The sequence below is a fragment of the Homo sapiens genome, chromosome 8 (assembly GCF_000001405.40).
Source record: "Homo sapiens chromosome 8, GRCh38.p14 Primary Assembly".
In the NCBI taxonomy this organism is placed as follows: Eukaryota; Metazoa; Chordata; class Mammalia; order Primates; family Hominidae; genus Homo; species Homo sapiens.
In genome coordinates, this window is record NC_000008.11 from 124,524,785 (window position 1) to 124,550,277 (window position 25,493).

The 25,493-nt window shown below is 43.4% G+C and overlaps 2 protein-coding genes across 18 annotated transcripts in view, besides 3 other annotated features; one reads left to right on the top strand and one right to left on the bottom strand.

Moving 5' to 3' along the window:
• Window positions 1-14,304, bottom strand: part of TATDN1 (TatD DNase domain containing 1) — a 50,595-nt gene extending 36,291 nt beyond the window's left edge. For 8 of the 14 annotated variants that reach the window (NR_027427.1, XR_007060756.1, NM_001146160.1 and 5 more), the window contains exon 1: window positions 14,241-14,304. Coding sequence is in view for 5 of the 14 variants with exons in the window: in XM_011517331.4 (XP_011515633.1) it covers window positions 14,241-14,262 (22 nt within the window). In the remaining 9 variants the exon portion in view is untranslated. Of the gene's footprint in view, window positions 1-14,143 lie in introns of all 14 variants that reach the window. The other 6 variants (XR_007060757.1, XM_006716666.5, XM_017013895.3 and 3 more) reach the window with 4 other exon arrangements.
• Window positions 2,536-2,705: an enhancer, noted in NCBI's record as "active region_27884". NCBI's record gives its function as "activates an Ori minimal core promoter by ATAC-STARR-seq in GM12878 lymphoblastoid cells {active_cell/tissue: GM12878}" and the evidence as "EXISTENCE:reporter gene assay evidence [ECO:0000049][PMID:35858748]".
• Window positions 3,446-3,495: an enhancer, noted in NCBI's record as "active region_27885". NCBI's record gives its function as "activates an Ori minimal core promoter by ATAC-STARR-seq in GM12878 lymphoblastoid cells {active_cell/tissue: GM12878}" and the evidence as "EXISTENCE:reporter gene assay evidence [ECO:0000049][PMID:35858748]".
• Window positions 14,162-14,231: an enhancer, noted in NCBI's record as "active region_27886". NCBI's record gives its function as "activates an Ori minimal core promoter by ATAC-STARR-seq in GM12878 lymphoblastoid cells {active_cell/tissue: GM12878}" and the evidence as "EXISTENCE:reporter gene assay evidence [ECO:0000049][PMID:35858748]".
• NDUFB9 (NADH:ubiquinone oxidoreductase subunit B9) lies at window positions 14,339-25,195 on the top strand. 4 transcript variants are annotated; one of them, NM_005005.3, is made up of 4 exons: window positions 14,339-14,503; window positions 18,303-18,495; window positions 22,216-22,329; window positions 24,977-25,195. In NM_005005.3, exons 1-4 carry the CDS (start codon window positions 14,403-14,405, stop codon window positions 25,106-25,108), a joined length of 540 nt encoding a protein of 179 aa, NP_004996.1. In that variant the 5' UTR covers window positions 14,339-14,402; the 3' UTR covers window positions 25,109-25,195. The 4 variants fall into 4 exon arrangements, with proteins under 4 accessions (NP_004996.1, NP_001265575.1, NP_001298097.1 ...); NM_001278646.2 differs by having other exon boundaries at window positions 18,305-18,495; NM_001311168.2 differs by having other exon boundaries at window positions 18,336-18,495.

Sequence of the window (25,493 nt, forward strand, 5' to 3'; positions counted from 1 at the left end):
ATGAAAAATTACTAAGAGGAAACATCAAAGGTGAGGGAAGATTCTGGGTTTACTCAACTTGATGGATTTTTGCTGAAGGCAGGCCAGAGTGTCAGGATATTCTGCTTGAGGATTTGAGATCTGGGATGGGGGAAATGAGGGATGAGAAAGGTCTATAGGTCCTGGCTGATGAGGAAAGCAGGTCCTACGTCCCAGTATAGTCTCTGGGTTTATCTGGGCAGACAGAAATGCAGGAAGACTCCTTCAAAAGTCCCTTGACCCAAGTGCAGTGAGAAGCACTTAAAGGCCATGCAGATGTAGACAGTGGTAATCACAGCTGACCACCCACCATCCTTCCACACTTTAGCATCATCCTAATCTTTTTTTTATTTTTCTTTTTAAGACAGAGTCTCACCCTATCGCCCAGGCTACAGTGCAGTGGCACAATCTCAGCTCACTGCAACCTCCACCTCCCGGGTTCAAGCAATTCTCCTGTCTCAGCCTCCCAAGTAGCTGGGATTATAGGCGCCCACCACCACACCCAGCTAATTTTTTGTATTTTTAGTAGAGACAGGGTTTTGCCATGTTGGACAGGCTGGTCTCGAACTCCTGACCTCAGGAGCTCCACCCACCTTGGCCTCCCAAAATGCTGGGATTACAGGCATGAGGCACCACGCCCAGCCAGTCTTAGTAAATTCTTGTACCCTCGCACTGCTGGCCCAGATAGTCACAGCTCACCCGCAACAAATAAGTGAGTCTTTCTGAGCCTCAGTTTTCTCACTAGTAGGGTGGACATAAACTTTCTCCTTCCAGCAACAAAATGTGGCTCAAAACCAAAAACAAATATGAAAGCATTTTGCAAATTAAAAGTCTTATTAGCATGTAATTATTGGGAACACTGTTATTACAAACACTGTAACATGCCAACAACAAATGGAATTTGAATCAGCTTTAGCCATACTGTCATACCACCTTAAGTGGTTAAGGCTCCCGATCCAAGAATGCATTATCAAATAGCCAAATGTGAGTCAATATGTTTTGAACATTAAGACTCATGATGTAATCATGAAAACAAAGCCACTCAAAATCCTATTTATTTAATTTGTTCAAAATGTTCTTATCTATGTTAAGGGATAGTGAGAAACAAAAACCTTGGATCTGAGAAATGCAAGCACCTTTAAATGATCAGGCCCAGAAAGGCATTTAAAATGTTCACAGCAGTCCAAGCTCACTCCCCTTTGAGCTACATAATTACTTCTTGAAGCCGCTTGCTATGTGGGCTCTAGACTGACGCCAAGTGGCCCTAAAATGCCATACACCCTATAGTTCAACAATACATAGCCAATCACTAACCAATGTTATTTCTGTAAACCAATGAGAATCCCTGATTAACCATTTTTGTAACCGCGCCCCACCTTTTGATTTGTCCTTTAAAAATTTGAGCCTCTCTTTTGTTCTCTGGAGCACTCCCCAAGGCAACTTGGAAGTGTGTCCTGGGCTGCAGTCCTCAACTGTTGTGCTTGAATAAACTCTGTAAACTAGATTCTGACCTTTTTGGTTATTTGAGGTTGACAATAGTATCTTTTAAATTAAAAGTCTCTATTAGACATAAGCCTATTGGCATGTAAACTCAAACAAACTAGACAAATACTGTATGAAAACCAATGTCTAGCCAGATCCAGCTAAAGATAGTAAGTAGCTTGAAAAGCTAAGAAAGTAAGAGATACGGGTGGGAGGGAATGATAGGAACAAAAACAAGGCAAAGTGGAAAATTGCTACTTCTCATTAGGGGAGAAAACTGAAGGATTCATACATTCAGTAGCATGTCACCCTATATAGATCAGTAATGTTTCTTTTTCATTAATTTTCTTCAAATAGCTGGCTTGAAAAGCAGCACCTACTTTATTATTTAAGAGTTCTTCAAATATTGACTTTTCGTTTTCAAAACAAAGTAAGAGTAGAAAACGGCACTGTTTGTAACCAGGAGAAAACCACAACTCTTAAGTTGAAGCCTCAGTTATTGGGCTCACTGAATCGTGTCACATCACTGTCACCTATGATCTAGGAATACAAAGGGACAGCAAATAAGGCACAATTTGTTTTTTAGATATTGCTAGTCTTTAGATATAACCCCGAGTTTATAGCAAATACGGGGGATTAGAGAACAAGCTCAATGACACTACTATTTAGCAAACAGACAAAGCCAGGAGACAGACTTTCTGTAGGGTGTTGACTTAAAATCACGAGATCTATACATTAGGGAAGAACTTTATTTCTTTTATTGACGTGCAACCTGCAGGCTGGGAAGCAGAGCCTTTGGCTGAGAACAAAAGCAACCATTTCAAAGGAAGAAGTGGGGAACAGGAGTTTTACACTAAATGGGCTGGCTAACGTACATATTTAACAGGTTATAGGAGGAGCTATGTATATTCATGAAAGGTGGATTCATGCGTGTATGATAAGCAAACATACATGTTACACAAACCCCATGTTCACTTTGGGGTGGAGACTTAACATTAAAATGCAGTAAAATTAAGCTTTATATGTCAAAAGGTGCACAGCCTGAGTAAACCAGCCAGAACTAGTCTGTGACTGGTGGTCACTTGTCAGGAAGGAATGCGCGGTGAAACTGGTCAGCTGTCATGTCAAAACCACAAAAAAGGAGGGGAGTCTGGCTGTGGTGTCAGGTGGTTGGCTGAAGTCAGCAGAGGAGTGAGTCTTGTTTCTGTTCCAGGGCTGGTTTCTATTTAACGCTTACAAAAAAAGTCTGGTATCGGTTAGTGAGGAAGGGGGTGTACTGAGGTGTGACCAAACTCTCATCTAATCATGGCTGGAAAACTTAGCTTTCAGAGTTTTTCTGGGGTCTCCTTGGCCAAGGTAGTGTCCATTCAGTCAGTCGGGTGGGGCAGGGGGGTGCTTAGAAATTTACTTTTATTTCATGTTTCCCCATTTTAGCCACGATCTGCTGCAAGCAGCACCAATAGCCAAATCTTTATTTTGTCCCATGTCATTGCCAGGGTGGTGTGGCTATCTGTCCCAGATCCATCCCTACGATAGCCAATTGGACATCCTAGATCAACCAGGAATAGAGAGATGGCAGGCCCTCACTAACCCGTAAGGTATAAGAGATATAAGAGCCAAAAGGAATGGCTACAAAATTAACTTGCCTGTAAGTTCTACGCACTGAGCCATCATAATTCTGGTTTTAACAGGGGACTTCTTGCAGTCCTATTATAAGTAATTTAAATGTTAAGAAAGAAAGTATGATGGAGACTATGAATATGACAAACACTTAGCAGTTTGAAAGGGATTTCCCAGGCCAGTTGGAAGCCAACTAAATAGATCATTGAGAGGATTAGTAGTTCATAGCTCTTGTAACCATTTAAGGTTGTTTGGATAGTCTTTCTCTAACAGTGTCTTTTTTTTTTGAGATGGAGTCTCGCTCTGTCACCCAGGCTGGAGTACAGTGGTGCCATCTCGGCTCACTGCAAGCTCCACCTCCCAGGTTCACGCCATTCCCCTGCCTCGGCCTCCCAAGTAGCTGAGACTACAGGCGCCTGCCGCCACACCCGGCTAATTTTTTGTATTTTTAGTAGAGACGGGGTTTCACCATGTTAGCCAGGATGGTCTCGATCTCCTGACCTTGTGATCCTCCCGCCTCGGCCTCCCAGAGTGCTGGGATCACAGGGGTGAGCCACTGCGCCCGGCCTCTAACAGTTTCTATTTCACCTGAAGTACTTATGTAACAGGAGGTATGGGCCAAACAACTCCTTGTTTGGCTAGGAGAAAATCTACGGCAACTTTATTATCTAGTACTACTTGAGCCAAGGAGTTTAGAGACTTTTGTTGAGCTACAAGGCTTTTTGCAGTGTCTGCAGCTATCTTGAGGTGGGAAATTAAAGAAAAATAAAATTAAAAAGATAGAGAAATAAGTTTTCCTGTATTAGACTGACTTGTCCCAGAGGCGGCAACAGGCACAACCCAGACCCAGGAAAAGTCTTGATAATGGTATCTAATGTGCTGTGGAGACTCTCCCAGCACTCCCTCAACATAAGGAGAAGAAAAACAAATTTTCCTTTGCTTTATGGTATGAGTTTATAGATTCTTGTTCTCTGTAACTAGTAACTTCAAGTATTCTGTTTTATCTAAGAAGTACAACAAAGGTCACGAGAAGCCTGAGTAGGCCTGAACTACAGCTGCCTGGGCCCCACAGTGAAGGTTATGGGATAAGCCCGTGCCTAGGCAAACCTAGATAACGGACACCTGGGTTGCTTGGCAATGGTCATGAGCAATCCTGAGTCTGTCCTGCCTCTGTATCCCTGCTTTCACACCACTGTAAGCTTGCTTCAAGCTAGCCCACACCCTTTTGTGAAGTGTGTATAAAAGTCAAGTGCTGTCTTTGTTTCGGGCTCAGTCTTTGGACCTGAGTCTGCTGGGCCTGAGTGCACTCAATAAAAGATTCTCCTGTTTCAACCCGAGGTCTCTCATACTCCTAAATCCCGCAACAATGTGACTAATAGTGGCAAAGACTTTTCAAATCATATCCTTATTGACATAAATCCCAACACTCGGAATTAATATTCCCAGGATGCTTTGATCTGTATCACCTTCACACCCTGCCAACACAGACCTTTTAGTTTAATAATGGAGAGAAAGGGGGTCCTTCTGTAAGTTTGTGTAAGGATACGGGGGGTTACAAAATATCTCAGCAAGCATGAACCTTCTAACTGTAGGCTGCCGAGGCAACAGTGTGCCCAAAGCTGTGCAGGTGGATCAGACCTTATGCCACATACAAACACACAGCCTGAATGGGGGGCACAAGTGATACTCCTGAGGATGTCTTAATTAGCAGATGTATTCATGCGGAGTGCTGACATCACCAAACTAAACTATGGGCCATTTCTCTTGCAAGCTTTCCAGAATCCACTCACTTATTTTAAATGTAAATATTGTGGGCACTGTAGGGATATATTTTTAACTTTATTTATCTGATGTAGATGACACTTGTCTATCCAGTAGTTCATAGGTCAAGAAGGTCCCATGGTAGGCCGGGTGCAGTGGCTCATGTCTGTAATCCCAGCACTCTGGGAGGCCAAGGCAGGTGGATTACTTGAGGTCAGGAGTTTAAGACCAGCCTGGCCAACACAGTGAAATCCAGTCTCTACTAAAAATACAAAAATTAGTTGGGCATGGTGGCAGGTGCCTGTAATCCCAGCTCTTGGGATGCTGAGGCAGGAGAATCGCTTGAACCCGGGAGGCGGAGGTTATAGTGAGCTGAGATCTCACCACTGCACTCCAGCCTGGGTAACAGGCCAAGACTCAGTCTCAAAAAAAAACCATAAAAAACCCAAAGAACAACAACAACAAAGAAGGTCCCATGGTAAAGAATGGGTTTCCAATGTTAAAAACACAGGACACATCAAAACAAGGGGTGACAATATCTGGGCTTTGAAGGAATTGGACCTGGAAAATCAACAGGGAAAGGGGTTGGTCTGGGTAAGTGGTGACATTAGGGACATCTGAGCAGTCAGTGACAGATATTACCAATGGCACATATCTATTATGAATGGATCAAGGAAGTTGTTGGCAAATCCAGCAATCCAATAGGTTTCCTTCTACTAGCAACATGTGGGACAGCTTAACTAAAGTGTTATCATGCCATTCTCTGCATTGAGACAAGACAGAGGGACAATTGCAAAGAGAGGGAAAGGTGACAGTGCAGGTATGAGTAAAAGGAATGGAGGGAACAGCCATTTAACAATTCAGAAAACTGAACCAAGGGAAAAACCATAAATCCCATACAAATCCAAGGGGATTATCTGACAAACTTAAGGGACTGTCCTTAAGTAAGAGAACATCTCACTACAGGAACAAAGCAATGATGTCCTCAGGAGTGGGGGTCATAAGCCCTGCTCAGTTCTGATAAAGACAAGAAGAGGAAGCACACAGGTAGCTAAACATCGAAGTTATCTAGCAGAAAGGCATGGAACAAATTCTATTAGTTTAGATAGAGGCAAATTATTAAATGAGACCCAGTGTCTTTGAATACAGTCCTGGCCCTGGGTCTCATGAAAGCAGTTTATGTTGACTATTGCCTTTTTCTGGGTCTAAAGATGAGGCTCTGGTTAACTGAAGTCTCGTGTAGAGACTGGCACCAACTTCCAAGATTCAGCAAGGGTTGTTGTTTTCAGATGAGACATGTGCGACCAGGAGTCAATCTCTATAACTTAGCAGCACAAGGATTAATTAATAGCACCCATCCAGTAGGCTGGATGAAGTATTTTAACTGATGTCTCTTCCACTACTTGTCATCACCAAGCTGGAGGTGGTAATACTGGAGTTTATGGCCTGTTGGGAAGCTGTAAAAAGATTCTACAACTTGCAGTGACTGATCTTTATAGCTTTAACAAGCCCCTGGCAATAAGCCTAAAGTTCCCTCCTGTCATTTGGCAGGAGAAAATATTTCCTGGTCTAAGTGCACAGACCAACCAGTAACAATTTCAAAAGGGGAGAGCTGACATTTACTGGTGGGAATGGACTGCAGAATCAGTAATGCTAATGGGAGAGCTTTAGGCAAGGACAGGTTAAGTTTCTGTAACTTTCGCCAGCTCGCTTTCAATGATCCCATTAGACTGTTCAACTAGCCCAGAGGACTGGGGGTAATAGGCACAGTGAAAGTGCTGTAAAAGGGCAGATTTAAAAAACTTGTTCTAGTATTTGGCAGGTAAAATGAGTGCCTCTGTCGCTGTGGAATTCAGTGGGAACACCCTAGATAGGAATGGTTTTTCTCAAGCAGCATTTTGGCCACCACCATAGCTGTTGCTTGTTTACAGGTGAAAGACCTACCTCAATGAGAATACATCGTCAACCATTAGAAGAACAAAATTTAATCTGTGGGATGGTGGTAACTAAATGAAATCAAGTTGTCACATGGTTAAGGGACCCTAGGGGAGAGGAAATTGTCCTGGAGGGAGCTTCAGGAGTTCACCTGGGTTATACTGAGGGTAGATATTGCAAAGTTTACATAGCGGTGGGGCAAGAGCTGGAGAGAGCCACCATACAGTAGTACTGTCTACCCCACTGAATCATTTTGTCTGGATTCTAATGGGTTAGATTATGTATGAAGGTTGTTTGTCTTTGCAGGGTGCTGGGTAGGACTGGATGTCCATTTGGACCTTCCTGTAATTTTGTCTGGGGATTGCAAGCGCAATTTTGTTTCATCCATTTCCCTCTTCCAGACTCCAAGACTGTCTTTTGTGAAAATAAGTCTGGAAAGGTCTTCAGATGGGGAGGGGAGCAAGGAAGAAGGAAGAGCAAGGGGGGGAGGAGGAGGAGGAGGAGGAGGAGTGGGTTGAGTACAACTCGGGAAGGAGCCACATGCTGGGTGGCAGCTTTAGCTGCTGCATCCACTAGGTGGTTGCCTTCGCTGTCTTCTGTCTTGTCAGAGAAATGTCCTTCGACTATGATAACGGCTAGGGCTCAATGAGCCTGAATGGCATCTAAGAGAAACAAAACAGTCTTTGTTTTTGTTTTTTTCTGAGACAGAGTCTCACTCTGTCGCCCGGGCTGGAGTGCAGTGGTGCAATCTCAGCTCACTGCAGCCTCCACCTCCCAGGCTCAAGTGATTCTCCTGCCTCAGCCTCCCACATAGCTGGGATTACAGGTGCATGCCACCACGTCTGGCTAATTTTTGTGTTTTTTATAGAGACGAGGTTTCACCATGTTGGTCAGGCTGGTCTCAAACTCCTGACCTCAAGTGATCCACCTGCCTCGGCTTCCCAAAGTGCTAGGATTACAGGCGTGAGCCACTGCACCTGGCCTAGTCTTTGTTCTTAATAGGTTGTCCAGAGGAAGTAAAAAATCCTCTTTGTTTCTAGAGCATGCCAAAATCATGGGCAACTCCAAAGACATACGTGCTGTCTGCATAAATATTAACCGTTTCACCCCAGGCCAGTAGGCAGGCCCAAGTGAGGGGATGCTAATTCTGCTCGTTGGGCAGATCGGGCAGTTGGCTGGGGGCCTGATTCAATGATTCCCATCACAGAGACCACCACATAGGCTGCATAATGGAAGCCAGCAGAATTTTTGAGAAAGGATCCATTAGTGGGTAAGGGGGTCTCCCTTAAGTCTATATGAGGTGAGAGAAAAGTGTCTGTAAAGACAACACAGTCTTTGGGTGCGTTAATCTCTTATTAAAGGCAAAACGGGGCCAGGTGTAGTGGCTCATGCCTGTAATCCCAGCACTTTAGGAGGCCGAGGTGGGCAGATGACGAGGTCAGGAGATCGAGACCGTCCTGGCTAACACGGTAAAACCCCGTCTCTACTAAAAATACAAAACATTAGCCGGGCGTGGTGGCAGGCGCCTGTAGTCCCAGCTACTCAGGAGGCTGAGGCAGGAGAATGGTGTGAATCCGGGAGGTGGAGCTTGCAGTGAGCCAAGATGGCGCCACTGCACTACAGCCTGGGCGACAGAGTGAGACTCTGTCTCAAAAAAAAAAAACGCAAAATGGTAGCTACATTAAGGAGGTTACAGTAAATTATGGTTAGGTTAGAAGAGGAGAAAAGTATCTCATAGGAGGTCAATCAACTGGCTTAAAGATGCTGAGTGAGGGGACAGGTGCAAAGGGCCTAAATTGAATGAGAAACATATACAACGAGAGGGGATCCCAGGAGTAATTTTTTGGTAGCCTTGATGAGGCCTGAGGGGGTGGCAACTGCCCTCAGTACAGGAAGGAATGCCTTGTGAAACTGGTCAGCTGTCATGGTGAAACTGCAAAAAAGGAGGGGAGCTGGTCCCAATGTCAGGCAGTTGGCTGAAGTCAGCAGAGGAGCAAGTCTTCCAATCTTTGTTTTTCCAGGGCTGGTTTCTGTTCAACTTGTAGGAAAAAAGTCTGGTATTGGTTAGTAAGGAAGGAGACCAGGACCAACCCCTCATCTTGTCATGTTTGGGAATCTTAGTTTTTCATGTTTTTCTGGGGTCTACTTGGTCGAGGGGGGTTCTGTTCAGCCAGTTTAGGGGGCTTAGAATTTTATTTTTATTTCACAGGCACAACCAGCACAGCTGCTTTGGTAAGTCAGTGACATTAAAAAAAGAAATGTGTGGCAGGGCGCGATGGCTCACGCCTATAATCCCAGCACTTTGGGAGGCTGAGGCAGGAGGATCACGAGGTCAGGAGATCGAGACCATCCTGGCTAACACAGTGAAACCCCGTCTCTACTAAAAATACAAAAAATTAGCCGGGCGTGGTAGTGGGCGCCTGTAGTCCCAGCTACTCGGGAGGCTGAGGCAGGAGAATGGCGTGAACCTGGGAGGCGGAGCTTGCAGTGAGCCCAGACTGCACCACTACACTCCAGCCTGGGCAACAGAGCGAGACTCCGTCTCAAAAAAAAAAAAAAAAAAAAAAAAAAAAAAAAAAGAAATGCGCTAGAGCAAGGGATTGGTAAACTAAGGCCCACAAGCCACTGCCTACTTTTGTTTGCCTCTAAGCTAAGAATGACTTTACATTTTTAAATAGTTGAAGAAAATCAAAAGAATATTTTGTGACACATCAAAATTATAAGAACTTCAAGTTTCAGTGACCGTAAGTTTTACTGGAACATAGCCACACCTATTTACATACTGTCTATCACCTGCTTTTGAATGACAAGGTGTGAGATAGGAAAAAATGCAAACTGCTTTCTCCTACAGTATTCTCATACTCACAATACTCTGAATTTTTTGTTTGTTTGTTTTAAGTAGAGATGGGGTCTCACTTTGTTGCCCAGGCTGGTCTTGAACTCCCGGGCTCAAGCAGTCCTCCCACCTTGGCCTCCCAAAGTGCTTGGATTACAGGCGTGAGGATTCACTTCTGACGTCAGGTATGTGTGGGGTTTCCTCTCCCAACAACCAATTCTCTGACACCAGCTGGGTGACCTATAATTTAACTCAATTCTCACACTATCTACCTGGATATAACATCAGACCGCAGAGGTCAAGGGCTCAGTCCCACAAGACTCTCCCCATTTCAGATACCAATTACAAGCAGTAGGTTCCCAGGTTACCCACAACTTGTCTAACTTGGCTACAATAAGAGGTTCCCACAACCCCCTTCTCAGGTTTGATCATTTGCTAGAGCAGCTCACGGAACTCAGGAAAGCACTTTACTTATTACCCATTCATTGTAAAAAGATGCCATTCAAAAACGGCCAGGTGGAAGAGACACATAGAGACATGTATGGGTTTTTATAGAGGCTTCACCATGTAGGTATGATTGATTAAATCACTGGCCATTAGTGAACAACTCAACCTTCAGTTTCTCTCCCCTTCCCCAGAAGTGGGAGTGGGTGGGAGGGACTGAAACTTCCAACTCTCTAATCACATGATGGGTTTTCCTAGGCAAACCCCCATCCTGAGGCTATCCAGGAGCCCCCAGCCATCAGTCATCTTAGCAGCATACAAAAAGACACTTAGCACTTAGGAGATTCCAAGGGTTTCAGGAGTTGTGCACAAAGAAATGGGAGCAGAGAACACACACGTATTTACTATTACATCACAGTACACAAAAGGGCAGAGTTGAATAGCTGCAATAGAGATCACGTGGCCCTCAAAGTCTAAAATATTTACTATATGGCCCTTTAAGGAAAAAGTTTGCAAACCTCTGCACTTGATTCAAAAATTTAAGGAACAACCAAATGTGTGGCTCTAAATGGGATACCATTTTGGACATGACCACCAAGGGACATTTTTGGAACAACAGGAAAAATTTGAGTATGATTTTGGTACTAGTTAAGATGAACATTTCCTGAAATGGAAAGGTGGAGACTGTGATTGAAAAAAGCAGAGCACAAAAGAGTAGCCTCAGTATGATCTTATTTTGTTTGGTATGCCTACAGAAGATCTGGAAAGATAGACATGGTGGTGTTATGTGTGATTTGGAGGAACTGTATTAATCTGCTTTTGCATTGCTATAAAGGAATACCTGAGACTGGGTGATTTATAAAGAAAAGAGGTGTATTTGGCTCATGGTTCTGCAGGTTGTACAAGATGCATGACACCAACATCTGCTTTTGGGAGGATCTCAGTAAGCTTCCAATCCTGGTGGAAAGGGAAGGGGAGCCAGTGTGAACTCATTACCACAGGGAGGCCATCAAGCCTTTCATGAGGGATCCACCCCCATGAGATGGATGTTGGGAAGTGACCCAAACACCTCCCACTGGACCACCTCAACATTGGAGAGCAAATTTTAACATGAGATTTGGAGGGGACAAATATCTAAACTATATCAGGAATGGAATATGATGTTTTTATTTTCACTGTTGTTTGTATTTTGCATTTTCTTCTTGCACAGATATTTCTCATTTTTTGGTGTACTATGTAGTCTAAGATCAATGCAGTAGAGATTCTGGCATATAATAGTTACAGGTAGAAGTATTTTTGAGAGTGGAAGAGTTTGTAAATAACACCCAGGGAATAGAATTCCACTTGTGGAGACAGAAAAGAGAGTATAAGCTGGGCTAAAGAAATTCTCATGCTGGCCAGTGGCTCCACGTGTAATCCCAGAACTTTGGGAGGCGGAGGTGGAAGGACTGCTTAAGGCCAGCAATTCAAGACCAGCCTGAGCAACATAGCAGGACACAGTGGTCTACAAAAAAAAATTAGCCTGGTATGGTGGTGAGCACCTCTAGTCTCAGCTACTTGGGAGGATGAGGCAGGAAGATCACTTGAGCCTAGGAGGTCAATGCTGGAGCCATGATCTAAGCCACTGTACTCCAGCCTAGGTGACAGAGCAAGACCCTGTCTCAAAACAAACAAAAACCCCCACTGTTGGGGTATAGTTCTAAGGGGCAGCCACTTGTTATGCAAGTAGAAAAGAGAGAAATGTAGAAAGAATTACAATGGTCAGCTGTCTTAAACCAAAATCTAAGGTAATTTTCATAAAATGGGTTCAATTTTTCATGCAATTGTCCCATGTGAAGCTTGTTCCAGGGATTTAATATGATGTTTTTCAAAATATTGTTCAGAACTCATTATTAGGCTAAGAAATTAGTCTAGCGATTCATGGGCAGAATTTTTTAAATGACACAAACTGAAAGATTAAATATCAGAGTAAGTCATATACCAAGGATAGAATGCATAATATGATCTCATTTCTGTTTCAAAAGGAAAAAAAAAAACCTTGATATGTTGTATTTTTATGAATCTGTATAACAATCTATTAAAAAATTAGGGAAGGCTATACTTCAAACTTTTAATATGGTTACTTTAGGAGAGTGGGGCTAAAGGAAACCATACAGAAAAAAATTTATTTCAATTATTTATTCCAATAAAGTCACCTTCTTTAAGAAGTCTTTTCTTGCTTATTTTATCTGATGCTAATCCCTTTACTAATTTTCTTATCACCTTAGCACTAAAGCCACTCATTCATACTTTCCCAAACAGTCATTGTACTACGCCCCTAGGAAAAAAATATAAATACCATACCAGTATCTGCCTTAAGAGTTTGATCTAGTGGGAAAGGCATACTCATATTTAATTATAAATAATGTGGTATAAGTTTTAAGGAGTGAGTAGGCAGACAGGCAACAGGGTAGTTGGTAGGCAGAGGAATATTTTGGCCCCAAACTGCCACTCTAAAACCTTGTCAGAGGTAACAAACAGCATGCACAAGTGTTTATAGAGCAGCCCAGGGATGGGCTAGAAAAGTGGGCAGGACTGGACCACAGAAGGGCTTTGTATGGTGTGTAAGCATTTAGGCTATCCTGAGGAGCGTAAATGAAAGATTTGAAGCAAAAGAAACATTTAGCTGATTTGATTTTTAGATACACCAAAATGGAGTCTACATGGAGGATGGATTTAAGACATTAACTTGAGGCAGGAATTTGGTTGTATAACATAAACACACTTTTAAAAAGTTATGTGGCCTTTCTTTACGGAGTACTTCATGGCTCTTTATTCCATCTCCCTCATCAATTATATCAAAGGTTAGGATGGAAAGGCTAAGACACGGCAATGTCTTATTTGACAACCCCTCCCCAAACCCCTACTCCAGGCTTTCCCACAGCAATTTCAAAACCTTTTTCCTGGCACTTAACATATTCTCCCCTGCATTTGCTTTTGACTGTACAGTACATAGGTCTTAGGTCTCCAGTCTGAAAACTGCACCACTAGATTTTACAGTTCCACAGGACTTAGCACAACGTCTTTGAAAAAAAAAAATACTGCTTAAATAACTCTCAGATCTAAATGTATAATCCTAATCTCTTGATTGCCAGACCACATTCCCAATTGCCCAGATATCTCTACCTGGATGTCCTATAATTATCTCAAACTTAACCTAATCCAAATGGACCTGGGTACCTCTCTTCACCGCCAAACTAGTCATGCTTCCATTTCATATTTAAGTACTTTTCCAAACCCTGAGTCATCTTTGTTCACTCTCTACTACCGGCCATGAACACTCAGCTGCTAAATGCTGCACACATCTCTTCCATTTCTCTCTCTTTTCCATTACCCTAGTTTAAGCTCTTGAAATGCTTCCCTACCTCTCCCTATTTCCCACAAAACCTACATAATAGCTATCAGGATTACCTTGCTAAAGCAGAGGTGTGATCACTGTCATTTCCCACCTTCAGGTAGCTGGAAACCCCACAAAACGAGGATCATGCCCATTTAAATCCCGCAGCATTCTCCCTCTCGTTCTACTGATGCCGACTGGATCATTGTACTTGCCAAGTACAGTTTGTTTTTCTCCCCATTACTTGTGTTTTCTAGTTTCTCCACCAGATGGTGATGACAGTACAACTGGGAGCTTTGTGCCCTGTGTTCCTAGGCCAGTGCCAGGCCCACTTGAGGCGCTCACTAACTATGATATGAACGAATGAATGCTTGAGTGAATTGGTCCCCAGAAGCGGTCAGCCTCTCCGCCAAGGCAGAGGGGAAGGGCCGGGAGGTGCACGTGGGATGAATGGAAACATAGTGATTGGCCTTTTTGGAGTTTTCTTCTTAAAAAACTGAATACATTACAGATGTTGAAAACAGCACAAAAATCATAACTGTACGGCTTGTTAATTTTTACAAATAAATACACCCTCGTGAATCCAGAACCTAGATCAAGAACCAGAGCATTACCAGCACCCAGAAACCTCCCCGCGCCCTCCTCCACTGAGCGGCCCTTTCAACCCTTACAATGCCGGAGGGCGCAATTCCTGGGTCCTGTGACCTTGGTGACCGACGCCCGGGACAAGTCAGAAAGACCCAAGGGCGTGGAAAACGCTCCTCTTACCGATAAACTTGAAGCGACTCATGACTGCGCATGGAGGACCTCCCCAGCGGAAGCGGAAGTGGCCGCCGGCAACTCCGCCCTTCCGGCTGGCCCCGCTCAGTCACCCGCAGCAGGCGTGCAGTTTCCCGGCTCTCCGCGCGGCCGGGGAAGGTCAGCGCCGTAATGGCGTTCTTGGCGTCGGGACCCTACCTGACCCATCAGCAAAAGGTGTTGCGGCTTTATAAGCGGGCGCTACGCCACCTCGAGTCGTGGTGCGTCCAGAGGTAAGGGATGGGGACCCAGGACTCGGGGAGGTGACCCTCGGGGCCCCATGGAGGTGGAGAGGCCCCTGGGTACCTGGAGGTTCAAGGACTTCGGGAACGGAATTGGAAGGTGGCCTCTCGCTTCACAGAATCCTATGGTAGACCCGGGTTCAAATCCAGGCTTCGCCACTTATGGCCGGGAGACCTTGTAGAGTTGCTTGTCGGGTCTGGGCGTCAGCTTTTTGTTTAGTAAAACGGACGCACGACCAGCGCAGAGGGTCGCAGGAAAATTAAGTGAAATAAAGGAAAGTGCCTAAAATTGTAATTGTCATGGGTCCAGCGCTCGCTCAATCGTTTTCTTCACGATCTTCTCCTTTCCAATATTAACAGCAATAAACTATGCATTATTTTCTTCAGTCTGCAAAACTCTAGGAGTTAGGAATTATCTTAAGCTTATTTTACAGATAAGAAGATGAGCACAGCTGGTAACTTGCGCAAGGTGATAGAGTTTCTAAGTGTCTGAGCCAGGGTTAAAATTTAGGTCTTTCTCCAAAGCATCATCATTCTCCCACCCCTCCCATTAGCTTTTCTCTTTTTAGCTTCATCTAGTCCTTTTCATTACCTTTACATCTTTTTCACCTCTTACATAATTCTCTTTCGACCTCTATCCGTCTGAGACTAGTCTGAGAACATAGTGTTAAAATGTGTAGATTTTAATCACCTAAATTCATTGCAGGGTGGGCTAACAACCCAAGATGTGTGAGTGCCTCGCCTCCACTCCAGTCTTACGACTCTCCAAACGTAGTTTTATAAGAAGGCCTTCTGGGAAAAAAACTCTATGGAAAATGGAGTAGGCCTGGAAGAATTACAGAGGGTACCCTCGAAGCCCAGATTGCATATATGTGACTATTAGAAAATCACTGACATACTTCTCTTGATTTGGCAGGAAGATGGCCAAGTACAATGTGATGGGATTGTTAGTTTCTTCCTTGAGTTTTCCTTATTTATTTATTGATTTGACAGAATTTGCAATTCAGATTCTATGCTCTATGCTAAATATATAAATGTTAGTAAATCCATTTTTGAGCAGCAGCAGCTCACGGATTAGTGGGGAAAATGGACATGTAAACAAATCGATGATGAAGGAAGTTGAGCCATCAGGGATTCAGGTATCCCAACACAAATGGTAAATGTTTGAGGTGATGAATATCCAAATTACCCTGATTTGATCATTATACATTATATGGATGTATTAAAATATCACATGTACCCCATAAATAGGTACAATAATTATGTGTCAAAAAAAGTTAAACATGAAAAAAAGAATTCAAGCAATACTGAACTATAGCTGGGAATACTAAAGTCCATAGTTCTAGAGGAAAATGATATAAACTAGCTACTATGACAGTTATGGCTCAGCATTTTTTAGATCTGACATTCTTTCTCAATCCTTGCCTTAATTTCTTCCTCCATTTGCCCTCATTGTGCTGTTCTCTGTGGTTCCATCCTAGGCATACTGTGTTGTTGTATGTACTCGGGCAGCCTCATTTAGTGCTGTCACCACCTGCGCTCATTTGTCTCTAGAGCTGTAGTTCGAATTGCTTGTTAGATCACGACTGTTGGCTGGGCATGATGGCTCACGCCTATAATCCCAGTACTTTGGGAGGCTGAGGTGAGTGGATCACCTGAGGCCAGGAGTTCAACAGCCTGGCCTACATGTGAAACCGCGTCTCTACTAAAAATACAAAAATTAGCCAGGCGTGGTGGTGGGTGCCTGTAATCCCAGCTACTCATGAGGCTGAGGCAGAAGAACCGCTTGAACCTGGGAGGCAGAGGCTGCAGTGAGCCGAGATAGCCCCATTGCACTCCAGCCTGGGCGACAAGAGTGAAACTTTGTCTCAAAAAATAATAATAAAAAAAAAATTGAAAAGATCACCAACCGTTCTCTCAATCTCCATTTATCTAAATTCTTTGAAATCAAACTTGTTTTCCTGTCACTCCCCATTCTGACTCTTTTCCCAAATTCCCTGCCTCCGCTAATGGTATTATTAGTAATTCAGTTACTGAGCTTTAAGTCTCAGAATTGTTCTCAAGTATTTGCTCCTTATTCCTTTGCCAATAACACACATACTCATACACCATGTATAATTAGACACTGGTTTTTATAAATTCTCTTTCCAGTATGATATTAGTAACTGACATTATTTAACACTTGGGATGTACCAGGCACTTTTTAAAGTGTGTTTATCTTATTGACTGTTTATGACAACCTTAAGATATACACACTGTTATTGCCACTGTTTTACAGAGGAGGAACCCGTGGCCTAGAAGACTTTTTTTGTTTGTTTTTTTGTTAGACGGAGTTTCGCTTATGTTGCCCAGGCTGGAGTGCAGTGGCGCGATCTTGGCTCACCGCAAGTTCCGTCTCCCGGGTTCAAGCAATTCTCCTGCCTCAGTCTCCCGAGTAGCTGGGATTACAGGCATGCGCCACCACGCCTGGCTAATTTTTGTATTTTTAGTAGAGACGGGGTTTTGCCATGTTGGCCAGGCTGGTCTTGAACTCCTGACCTCAGGTGACCTCCACCTCAGCCTCCCAAAGTGCTGGGATTACAGGCGTGAGCCACCGTGCCTGGCCTTTTTGTTGTTGTTGTTGTTGTTTTTTTTTGAGATGAAGTCTCGCTCTTGTCCCCCAGGCTGGAGTGCAAATGGCACAATCTCGACTCACTGCAACCTCTGCCTCCCGGGTTCAAGCTATTCTCCTGCCTTGGCCCCCAGAGTAGCTGGGATTACAGGTGCCTGCCACCACGCCCGGCTAGTTTTTGTATTTTTAGCTGAGACGGGATTTCACCATGTTGGCCAGGCTGGTGTAGAACTCCTCACCTCAGATGATCCCCCTGCCTTGGCCTCCCAAAGTGCTGGGATTACAGGCGTGAGCCACCATGCCCGGCCTCATTTTTGTATTTTTAGTAGAGACGGGGTTTCTCCATGTTGATCAGGCTTGTCTTGAACTCCAGACCTCAGGTGATCCACACGCCTTGGCCTCCCAACGTGCTGGGATTACAGGTGTGAGCCACCGCACCTGACCAGAAGACAGTAACTTACCCCAAGTTACACAGCTAGTAGTGGCAGAGCTAAGATTCAGGCCCATACAGTCTGACTGGAGAGCCTATTCTCATAACTTGGAAGTCTCAATGTCTCCCCTGTCTCCTGTCACCATCACAGCTCCGTACTTTCAGGCCCTCGTCAGCTGTGTCCTAGATTATTGTCAAAACCTCCTAACTGATCTTTGCCCAGTTTCTTTAGAACTTGACTTTAACTTGCCTAAGTTTATGCAGCTAGTGTCAGAGTCAGGATACAAACCTAGCTCTGTATGAGCTAAGCAATACTGTTTCTGCCAAGTAACACCTTTCTTATTCATCTTTGTATCTCCAGAATTTAGCATAGTGACTAGCACAAGATAGAAGGAAATGGAAGTTGTCATTCAATGAATGTTGAATGATCCTGCAGAGGTTATAGCTTTTCTCTTGCGAATGCTCTTTTCTTTTTTTTTTTTTTTTTTTTTGTTTAAATCCTCATTCCATTGTTGGATGTAAGAGGAGAAAAATGGTTAGGGTATATATTTAATACAGTATTTTTTTGCTGCTGCTGTTTGGTGGGCTGTAGAGGAAGCAGCCATGATGATACGGCTGCTCCATTGGGAGGGTTGGGGTAGGTCCACTGCCCATCCAGAAGGTATCAGAAGTGCAGCCTCCTGTCAGACAGCAACACTGACCACGTGAGTAGGTAACATTTCTAATCTTCAAAATCATTTTGGTTTAAGAGACAAATACCGATACTTTGCTTGTTTGATGAGAGCCCGGTTTGAAGAACATAAGAATGAAAAGGATATGGCGAAGGCCACCCAGCTGCTGAAGGAGGCCGAGGAAGAATTCTGGTACCGTCAGCATCCACAGCCATACATCTTCCCTGACTCTCCTGGGGGCACCTCCTATGAGAGATACGATTGCTACAAGGTAGGTGAGAATTATGATGACTGCCTTCTGAGAAATAGACTTTGTTTCTTCAGTCCCACACCTCAGCCTCAGAAATCACTTGCCCTTCAAGGGGTAGCTAGGAGACTTATTTCCTGACAGTTGTCAGATGCAGGCCTACCTCATTTTATTGCATTTTGTTTTATTGTGCTTGGCAGATATTGTATTTTCACAGATTGAAAGTTTGTGGCAACCCCGTGCTGAGCAAGTCTGTGGGCACCATTTTTCCAACAGCATGTGCTCACTCCCTGTCTCTGTTTCTCAGTTTGGCAATTCTTGCAATATTTCAAACTTTTTTTTATTATTACTCTATCTACACACAGTTGTGGTGAACTGTGATCAGTCACCTTTGATGTTACTATTGTCATTGTTTTGGGGCACAAAAAAACCATGCCCACATAAGACAGCAGACTTAATCGATAAATGTGCGTGTGCTGACTGTTTCACCGACCAATAGTTCCTCCGCCTCTATCCCTCTCCTCAGGGTTCCCTATTCCCTAAGACGCAGCAACAGTGAAATTAGGACAATTAACGACCATACCATAGCCTCTAAGTGTTCAAGTGAAAGGAAGAGTTACATGTCTCTCACTTTAAATCCGTTACACGTCTCTTCCTTTAAATCAAAAGCTAGAAATGATTAAGCTTAGTGAGGAAGGCATGTTGAAAGCCAAGGTGGGTAGAAAGCAAGGCCTTTTCCGCTGGTTAGCCAAGTTGTGAATGCAAAGGAAATTAAAGGTTTTTTTAAGGAAATTAAAAGTGCTGCTCCACTAAACACACAAATGATAAGTGAAACTGTCTTATTGCTGATATGGAGAAAGTTTTAGTGGTTGGGACAAAAGATCAAACCAGCCACGACATTCCCTTAAGCCAAAGCCTAATCCAAAGCAAGTCTTTAACTCTTCATTTCTATGAAGGCTGAGAGAGATGAGGAAGCTGCAGAAAAAAAGTTGGAAGCTAATAGAGGTTGGTCCATGAGGTTTAAGGAAAAAAGCCATCTCTGTAACACAGATGTGCAAGGTGAAGCAACAAGTGCTGATGGAAAAGCTGCAGCAAATTATTACACAAAATCTGGCTAAGATAGTTGATGAAGGTGGCTATACTTAACAACAGATTTTCAGTGGAGATGAAGTAGCCTTTTTTTGGAATAAGATACCATGTAGAACTTTCATACCTTGAGAGAAATCAATGCTTGGCTTCAAAACTTCAAGGATAGGCTGACTCTCTTGTTAGGGACTAATGCAGTTGGTGGTTTTAAGTTGAAGCCATTGTTCATTTGCCATTCTGAAAATCCTGAGGCCCTTAAGAATTATGCTAAACCTACTCTGCCTGTGCCCTAGAAATGGAATAACAAAGCCTGAATTACAGCAAATCTGTATACAACATGGTTTACTGAATCTTTTAAGCCCATTGTTGAGACCTGCTACCATGTCTGCTAACACAACATCCATTCTGCAGCCCATGGATCAAGGAGTAATTTCCACTTGCAAGTTTTATTATTTAAGAAATATATTTTGCATAGTTATAGTTGCCATAGATAGTGATTCCTCTGATGGATTTGGGCAAAGTAAAATTTTCTGGAAAGAATTCACCATTCTAAATGCCATTGAGGATATTTATGATTCATGGGAAGAGATCAAAATATCAGCTTTAACGGGGTTGGAAGAAGTTGATTCCAACCCTTGTGGGTGATTTTGAAGGGCTCAAGACTTCAGCAGAAGAAGTAACTGCAGAAGTTGTGGAAATAGCAAGAGAGCCAGAATAGAAGCTGATCCTGAGAATATGACTGAATTGCTGTAATCTCATGATAAATCTTGAGCAGATGAAGAGTTGCTTCTTATGGATGAATACGAAAGTGGTTTCTTGAGATGGAGTCTCCTGGTGAAGTTTTTGTGAACATTGATGATAACAAAGGACTTCGCATAGCACATCAACTTAGTTGATTAAGCAGTAGCAGGGTTTGAGAGGATTGACTCCAATTTTGCAAGAAGTTCTTCTGTGGGTAAAATGCTATCAAATGGCATCACATGCTATAGAAGTGTTTGGTGTAAGGAAGAGTCAGTTGATGTCGCAAACCTCGTTATTTTAGGAAATTGCCAAAGCCACTCCAGCCTTTGGCAATCATCACCCTGATTAGTCACCAGCCATCAACATTGATATAATACTCTCCACCAGTAAAAAGATTGGTTTTCTGATGGCTCAGATGATTGTTGGCAGTTTTTATCAATAACGTATTTCTTTTGTTTTTGTTTGGGAGATGGTCTCCCTCTGTTGCCCAGGCTGGAGTGCAATAGCATGATCATAGCTCACTGCAGCCTGGATCCCCTGGGCTCAAGCAATCCTCCTGTCCTAGCCAACCAAGTAGCTAAGAAAACAGAGGCACAACACCACACCTAGCTAATTTATTTTATTTTTTGTAGAGATGGAATCTTGCTATGTTGTCCAGGCTGGTCTGGAACTCCTACCCTCATAGAATCTCCCTGCCTCAGCCTTCAAAGGGCTGGGACTAAAGGCAGGAGCCACCTCACCCAACCAATAATGTATTTTTAAATTATGTCTTTTTTTTGGTGGAGGGGGACAGAGTTTTGCCCAGGCTGGAGTGCAATGGCACAATCTCGGCTCACCGCAACCTCCACCTCCCAGGTTCAAGCGATTCTCCTACCTCAGTCTCCCAAGTAGCTGGGATTACAGGCATGTACCACTATGCCTGGCTAGTTTTGTATTTTTAGTAGAGACAGCGTTTCTCCATGTTGGTCAGGCTGGTCTCGAACTCCTGACCTCAGGTGATCCGCCTGCCTCAGCTTCCCAAAGTGCTGGGATTACAGGCGTGAGCCACTGCACCTGGCCTAAATTATGTACATTTTTTATGTATATTATGTGAGGTTTGCCACATCAATTGACTTTTCCTTTTGATAGCATTTTACCCACAGAAGAACTTCTTTCAAAATGGGAATCAATCCTCTCAAACCCTGCCACTGCTTTATCAACTAAGTTGATGTACTGTTCAAAGTCCTTTGTTATCAGTTAATCAATATTCACAAAATCTTCACCAGGAGGACTCCATCTCAACAGACATCATAATGCTGTTGGACACTTTATAGTATAGTATAAACAAAACTTTTATATGCACTGGGAAACCAAAAACATTTTGTGACTTGCTTTATTGTGATATTTGCTATATTGCAGCGGTCTGGAACCAAACCCCCAGTATCTCTAAGGTGTGCCTGTACTGTTTCTTAGGTGTCAGTTTTCTCTCTCTGAGACGTCATTAAGACTTTTCTTTCTACATTCAGATTTAAGGTCGTACAGTATACTTTTTGCTATAACAAAGTTCATTTTGGACTTTAAAGTTAACCAACTTGGATTGGTGCTTAATATTTCTGAGATACTCTAATTAAGAGTTCCAAGTAAGATAAGACTACTCTGGATATTTAGAGAAGGCAGGTAGGGGAGGAATGAAGCCAGTTCTCCTTGGACTGATGATGGTGCTATTTTTCAGCACAGTCTTTGACTCTAAGGTGTTTTCCTTTATCTTTGCTTCCTACTTATCCTCTGCTGTTCCTTGCTTAGAGTTAGAAACAGTCTGGTAGTTGCAGTGGTTATAAAAATATATCTTGATCTTTGTCTTACATCTCCTGAGCAGGCCCTGTCAGGGATAGGTAAATGTGTCCTGTGGATTGATACCATGATTTCCTCTCCTGACAGGTCCCAGAATGGTGCTTAGATGACTGGCATCCTTCTGAGAAGGCAATGTATCCTGATTACTTTGCCAAGAGAGAACAGTGGAAGAAACTGCGGAGGGAAAGCTGGGAACGAGAGGTGCGTTCTACTTGTACTTCGTTATTCCTTAGCTATGTAGATGGAGTGAAGTTTTGCTCCCCACAAGCAGAGGTCCAGATTCCAGCCATGACAGTTACTCTGGGCCCTTGCTTCTCAGATATACTTTAGTATCTAAGTGTATCAATTTAACATTTATAATCACCTTACAAGTAAGTTAAAGTGCATTCCCTGGTCGTTTTGGCTTTGTCTTTGATTTTGCTTCAGATCTCCTTCTCTTTAGTCCTTTGTCTGACTTTTTTGCCTTCTTGCTATACTTTCCCTCAACCTGCCTCTCCACTATTTTCTTAGGCATTTTTCAGTCATGTTAGGATGGTCAGTTATATTTTTAAAAGCTCAATCTTGCTGTAGTGTGAAGAATATATTGGAGAGGGGAAGAGGAGAAGCAGAGAGACCCTTCTAGGATTATTGCAGAAGTTTAGTCAAAAGGTTGTCATGACTAACACTAGGGTGGATGAAGTGGATATGGAAGGAAATTGACTCAGGACATCATTTGGAGGGATGTGACGACTGACTGGATGTTGAGGGTGGGTGAGGGATGGGGAGGAATCAAGAATGGTTTCTGGGGCAGGGTGCGGTGGCTCACACCTATAATCCCAGCACTTTGGGAGGCCAAAGTGGGTGATAGCTTGAGGTCAGGAGTTCATGACGACCAGCCTGACTAACATGGTGAAACCCCATCTCTACTAAAAGTACAAATAATTAGCTGGGCGTGGGGGCTGTGCACCTGTAATCCCAGCTACTTGGGAGGCTAAGGCAGGAGAATTGCTTGAATCCCAGGAGGTGGAGGTTGCAATGAGCTGACATCGCGCCACTGCATTCCAGCCTGGGCGACAGAGCAAGACTCCATCCCAAAAGAAAAAAAAAAGAGAGAATGGTTTCTGGGTTTTAAGCTTTAACATCTGGAGTTTGGTGATGTTTACTGAGATAGGGAAGATTGGGGAAGGGGGCACAGGTGTCAGAGCAGCAATCGAGAATTCATTTTGGAAGTGTGAAGTTTTGAGAATCCTGTGAGACATCAAGTGCAGATGTCAGAAGCCAACTTCAGATGTGGAAATCTGGAACTCCCAGGAGAGATTTGGCCTAGAAACAGAAACGTGGGAGTTTTCAGTTTTAAAAGCCATGGAGAGATGTATGGAATCCTTAGGAGAGAGTATAGAGAAAAAAGAAAAGGAAAAAGGATTCTTTGTGCATTATAATTGGGCAAAAGATTGTATATAAATACATTTGGGTTAGAAGTTTTGAAGATGACAGACTTGTGTGATAGCTTCCTTTTTTTAGTGAAATAAGAGGAAAAGCCCAGAATGAGTGGGTGCAGCATATTTGGAGAATGTGGACAAGATGTGATAGTCATGAGGCGAGGAAGAGCTTGCTGGAGAGTAGTAGGATGGCCAGGTGGCAAAGGCCCATTTGAGGTTGGGAATAATCAGTGGGTAATGACTCCGATTTGCTCCCATATCTTTTTTCTCTTTAGCAATACTAAGCTGTATGAGCACAGGCCTGAGGGTATATGGTTCGGTTTGTCTGTTGCTCAGAGAGTGACAAGGGACTTGAGGTTATTCGAAAGGAAGCTGTTGTCATGATGGAATCTAAGCTGAATTTAAAAAAAAACAAAGTCAAGCCAGTGGGGGCAGATGCAGAGAGGGAAGGCCAAGTTGGGAGGATCTGTGAATTGGTAGTCTGAGTTTCAAGGAGGCATTTAAACAAATGAGTGGGAAAGGGAGAGTGTGGTTGGATAGTGGGATATTTGAATTCATGATTTGGAAGTTGTGCTGGTTCTGGTGATAACACTGAGGATATTGACCTTTGGAAGTGTTTGGCCAAGGGGGACCCGAAGGAAGGGCACTGTGGCCAAAGGGGGCAGTGTTTTGTCAGAAATGTCTCACCGTTTAGAAGCTTGAAGTATATGCATGGTGAGCCGCAGGTGCATTCTGCAATTGATCACTGGGATAACATCAAACAATTCCTCCTTTACACATCCCATCACTTCAACACTATTAAGCAGCACGTGTGACTGGAGGCCCAGGGCAGCCACAATCCAGAATGGGTGATCTTCTGTTAGGACATTTATCTTGGCCATAACTAGAACTGGAGGTAGTAGGGCAGCACTTGGCAGAACTGAGCATATTTTTACATGTAATTTTGTGATTTATTTTTGTTCTTGGTTGCTAGGAAGGGGGCTTAGAATTAACATCCCCAGCATATTATGAACTGAGGTTTCTTAATGGTGCTTTTGGAGAACACTTAGCTGAGACACAACAATAAATGTTTTTCTGGTCAGTGGGTGGGGGCTGTGACAAGGAGAATTGGAATGATAGTTGTCATTTTTCTGTCTGCAGAATAAGAGGAGGTCCAGATAATGAGGTGATGAAAAGGGGTAGGGGGAAGAATAGGAAGGGTAGGCTTTGCTATTTAAAAGAATGGGAAAACCCTTAAGGAGACTTTTCTAAAAGTGTGGATATGAAAATAAAGCAGGTATATGTAAAAAACACTTTTCAATATTGTGATCAGATAGTGTGTAATGTCAGTGACACACCATAGACATAAAGCTGACCCTTCACTGCAGCAGACAGATTTTTATAGTCAATTAGATTCCTTTGGTAATGATTCCTTCCTTGCCTCCTTCTAGGTTAAGCAGCTGCAGGAGGAAACGCCACCTGGTGGTCCTTTAACTGAAGCTTTGCCCCCTGCCCGAAAGGAAGGTGATTTGCCCCCACTGTGGTGGTATATTGTGACCAGACCCCGGGAGCGGCCCATGTAGAAAGAGAGAGACCTCATCTTTCATGCTTGCAAGTGAAATATGTTACAGAACATGCACTTGCCCTAATAAAAAATCAGTGAAATGGTCTCTGGTATGACTGACGTTCTTCTAAGAATTACTGTGATGCCAAGTGACTGTGCCACTGTCATTGTTTTATCAATCGTGCATGTAAAGAAAATGACAGGACATGTAGTCAGTCAGCTGTGTTCTCTGCAATAAATCACTGATAGCATATGTTACCAGTAAGGAAAAACTGAGGCAGAACCAGATTGAGGCGAACAAACTCTCAAGTCAAAGGCCTAATTAGCTGTGGTAACTAGAAGGAATAAACAAAGCCAAGAACAGAAATACTGAGGATTTAAAAATAACCTTTTTGGTTTTCTAA

Bases quoted from the DNA above. Each gene is read 5' to 3' on its own strand.
- NDUFB9 (NM_005005.3), top strand. From the start codon at position 14,403: ATGGCGTTCTTGGCGTCGGGACCCTACCTGACCCATCAGCAAAAGGTG. The intron at 14,504-18,302 runs GTAAGGGATGGG...TTTTGGTTTAAG, and splicing joins GAGTCGTGGTGCGTCCAGAG to AGACAAATACCGATACTTTG. The intron at 22,330-24,976 runs GTGCGTTCTACT...GCCTCCTTCTAG, and splicing joins GGGAAAGCTGGGAACGAGAG to GTTAAGCAGCTGCAGGAGGA.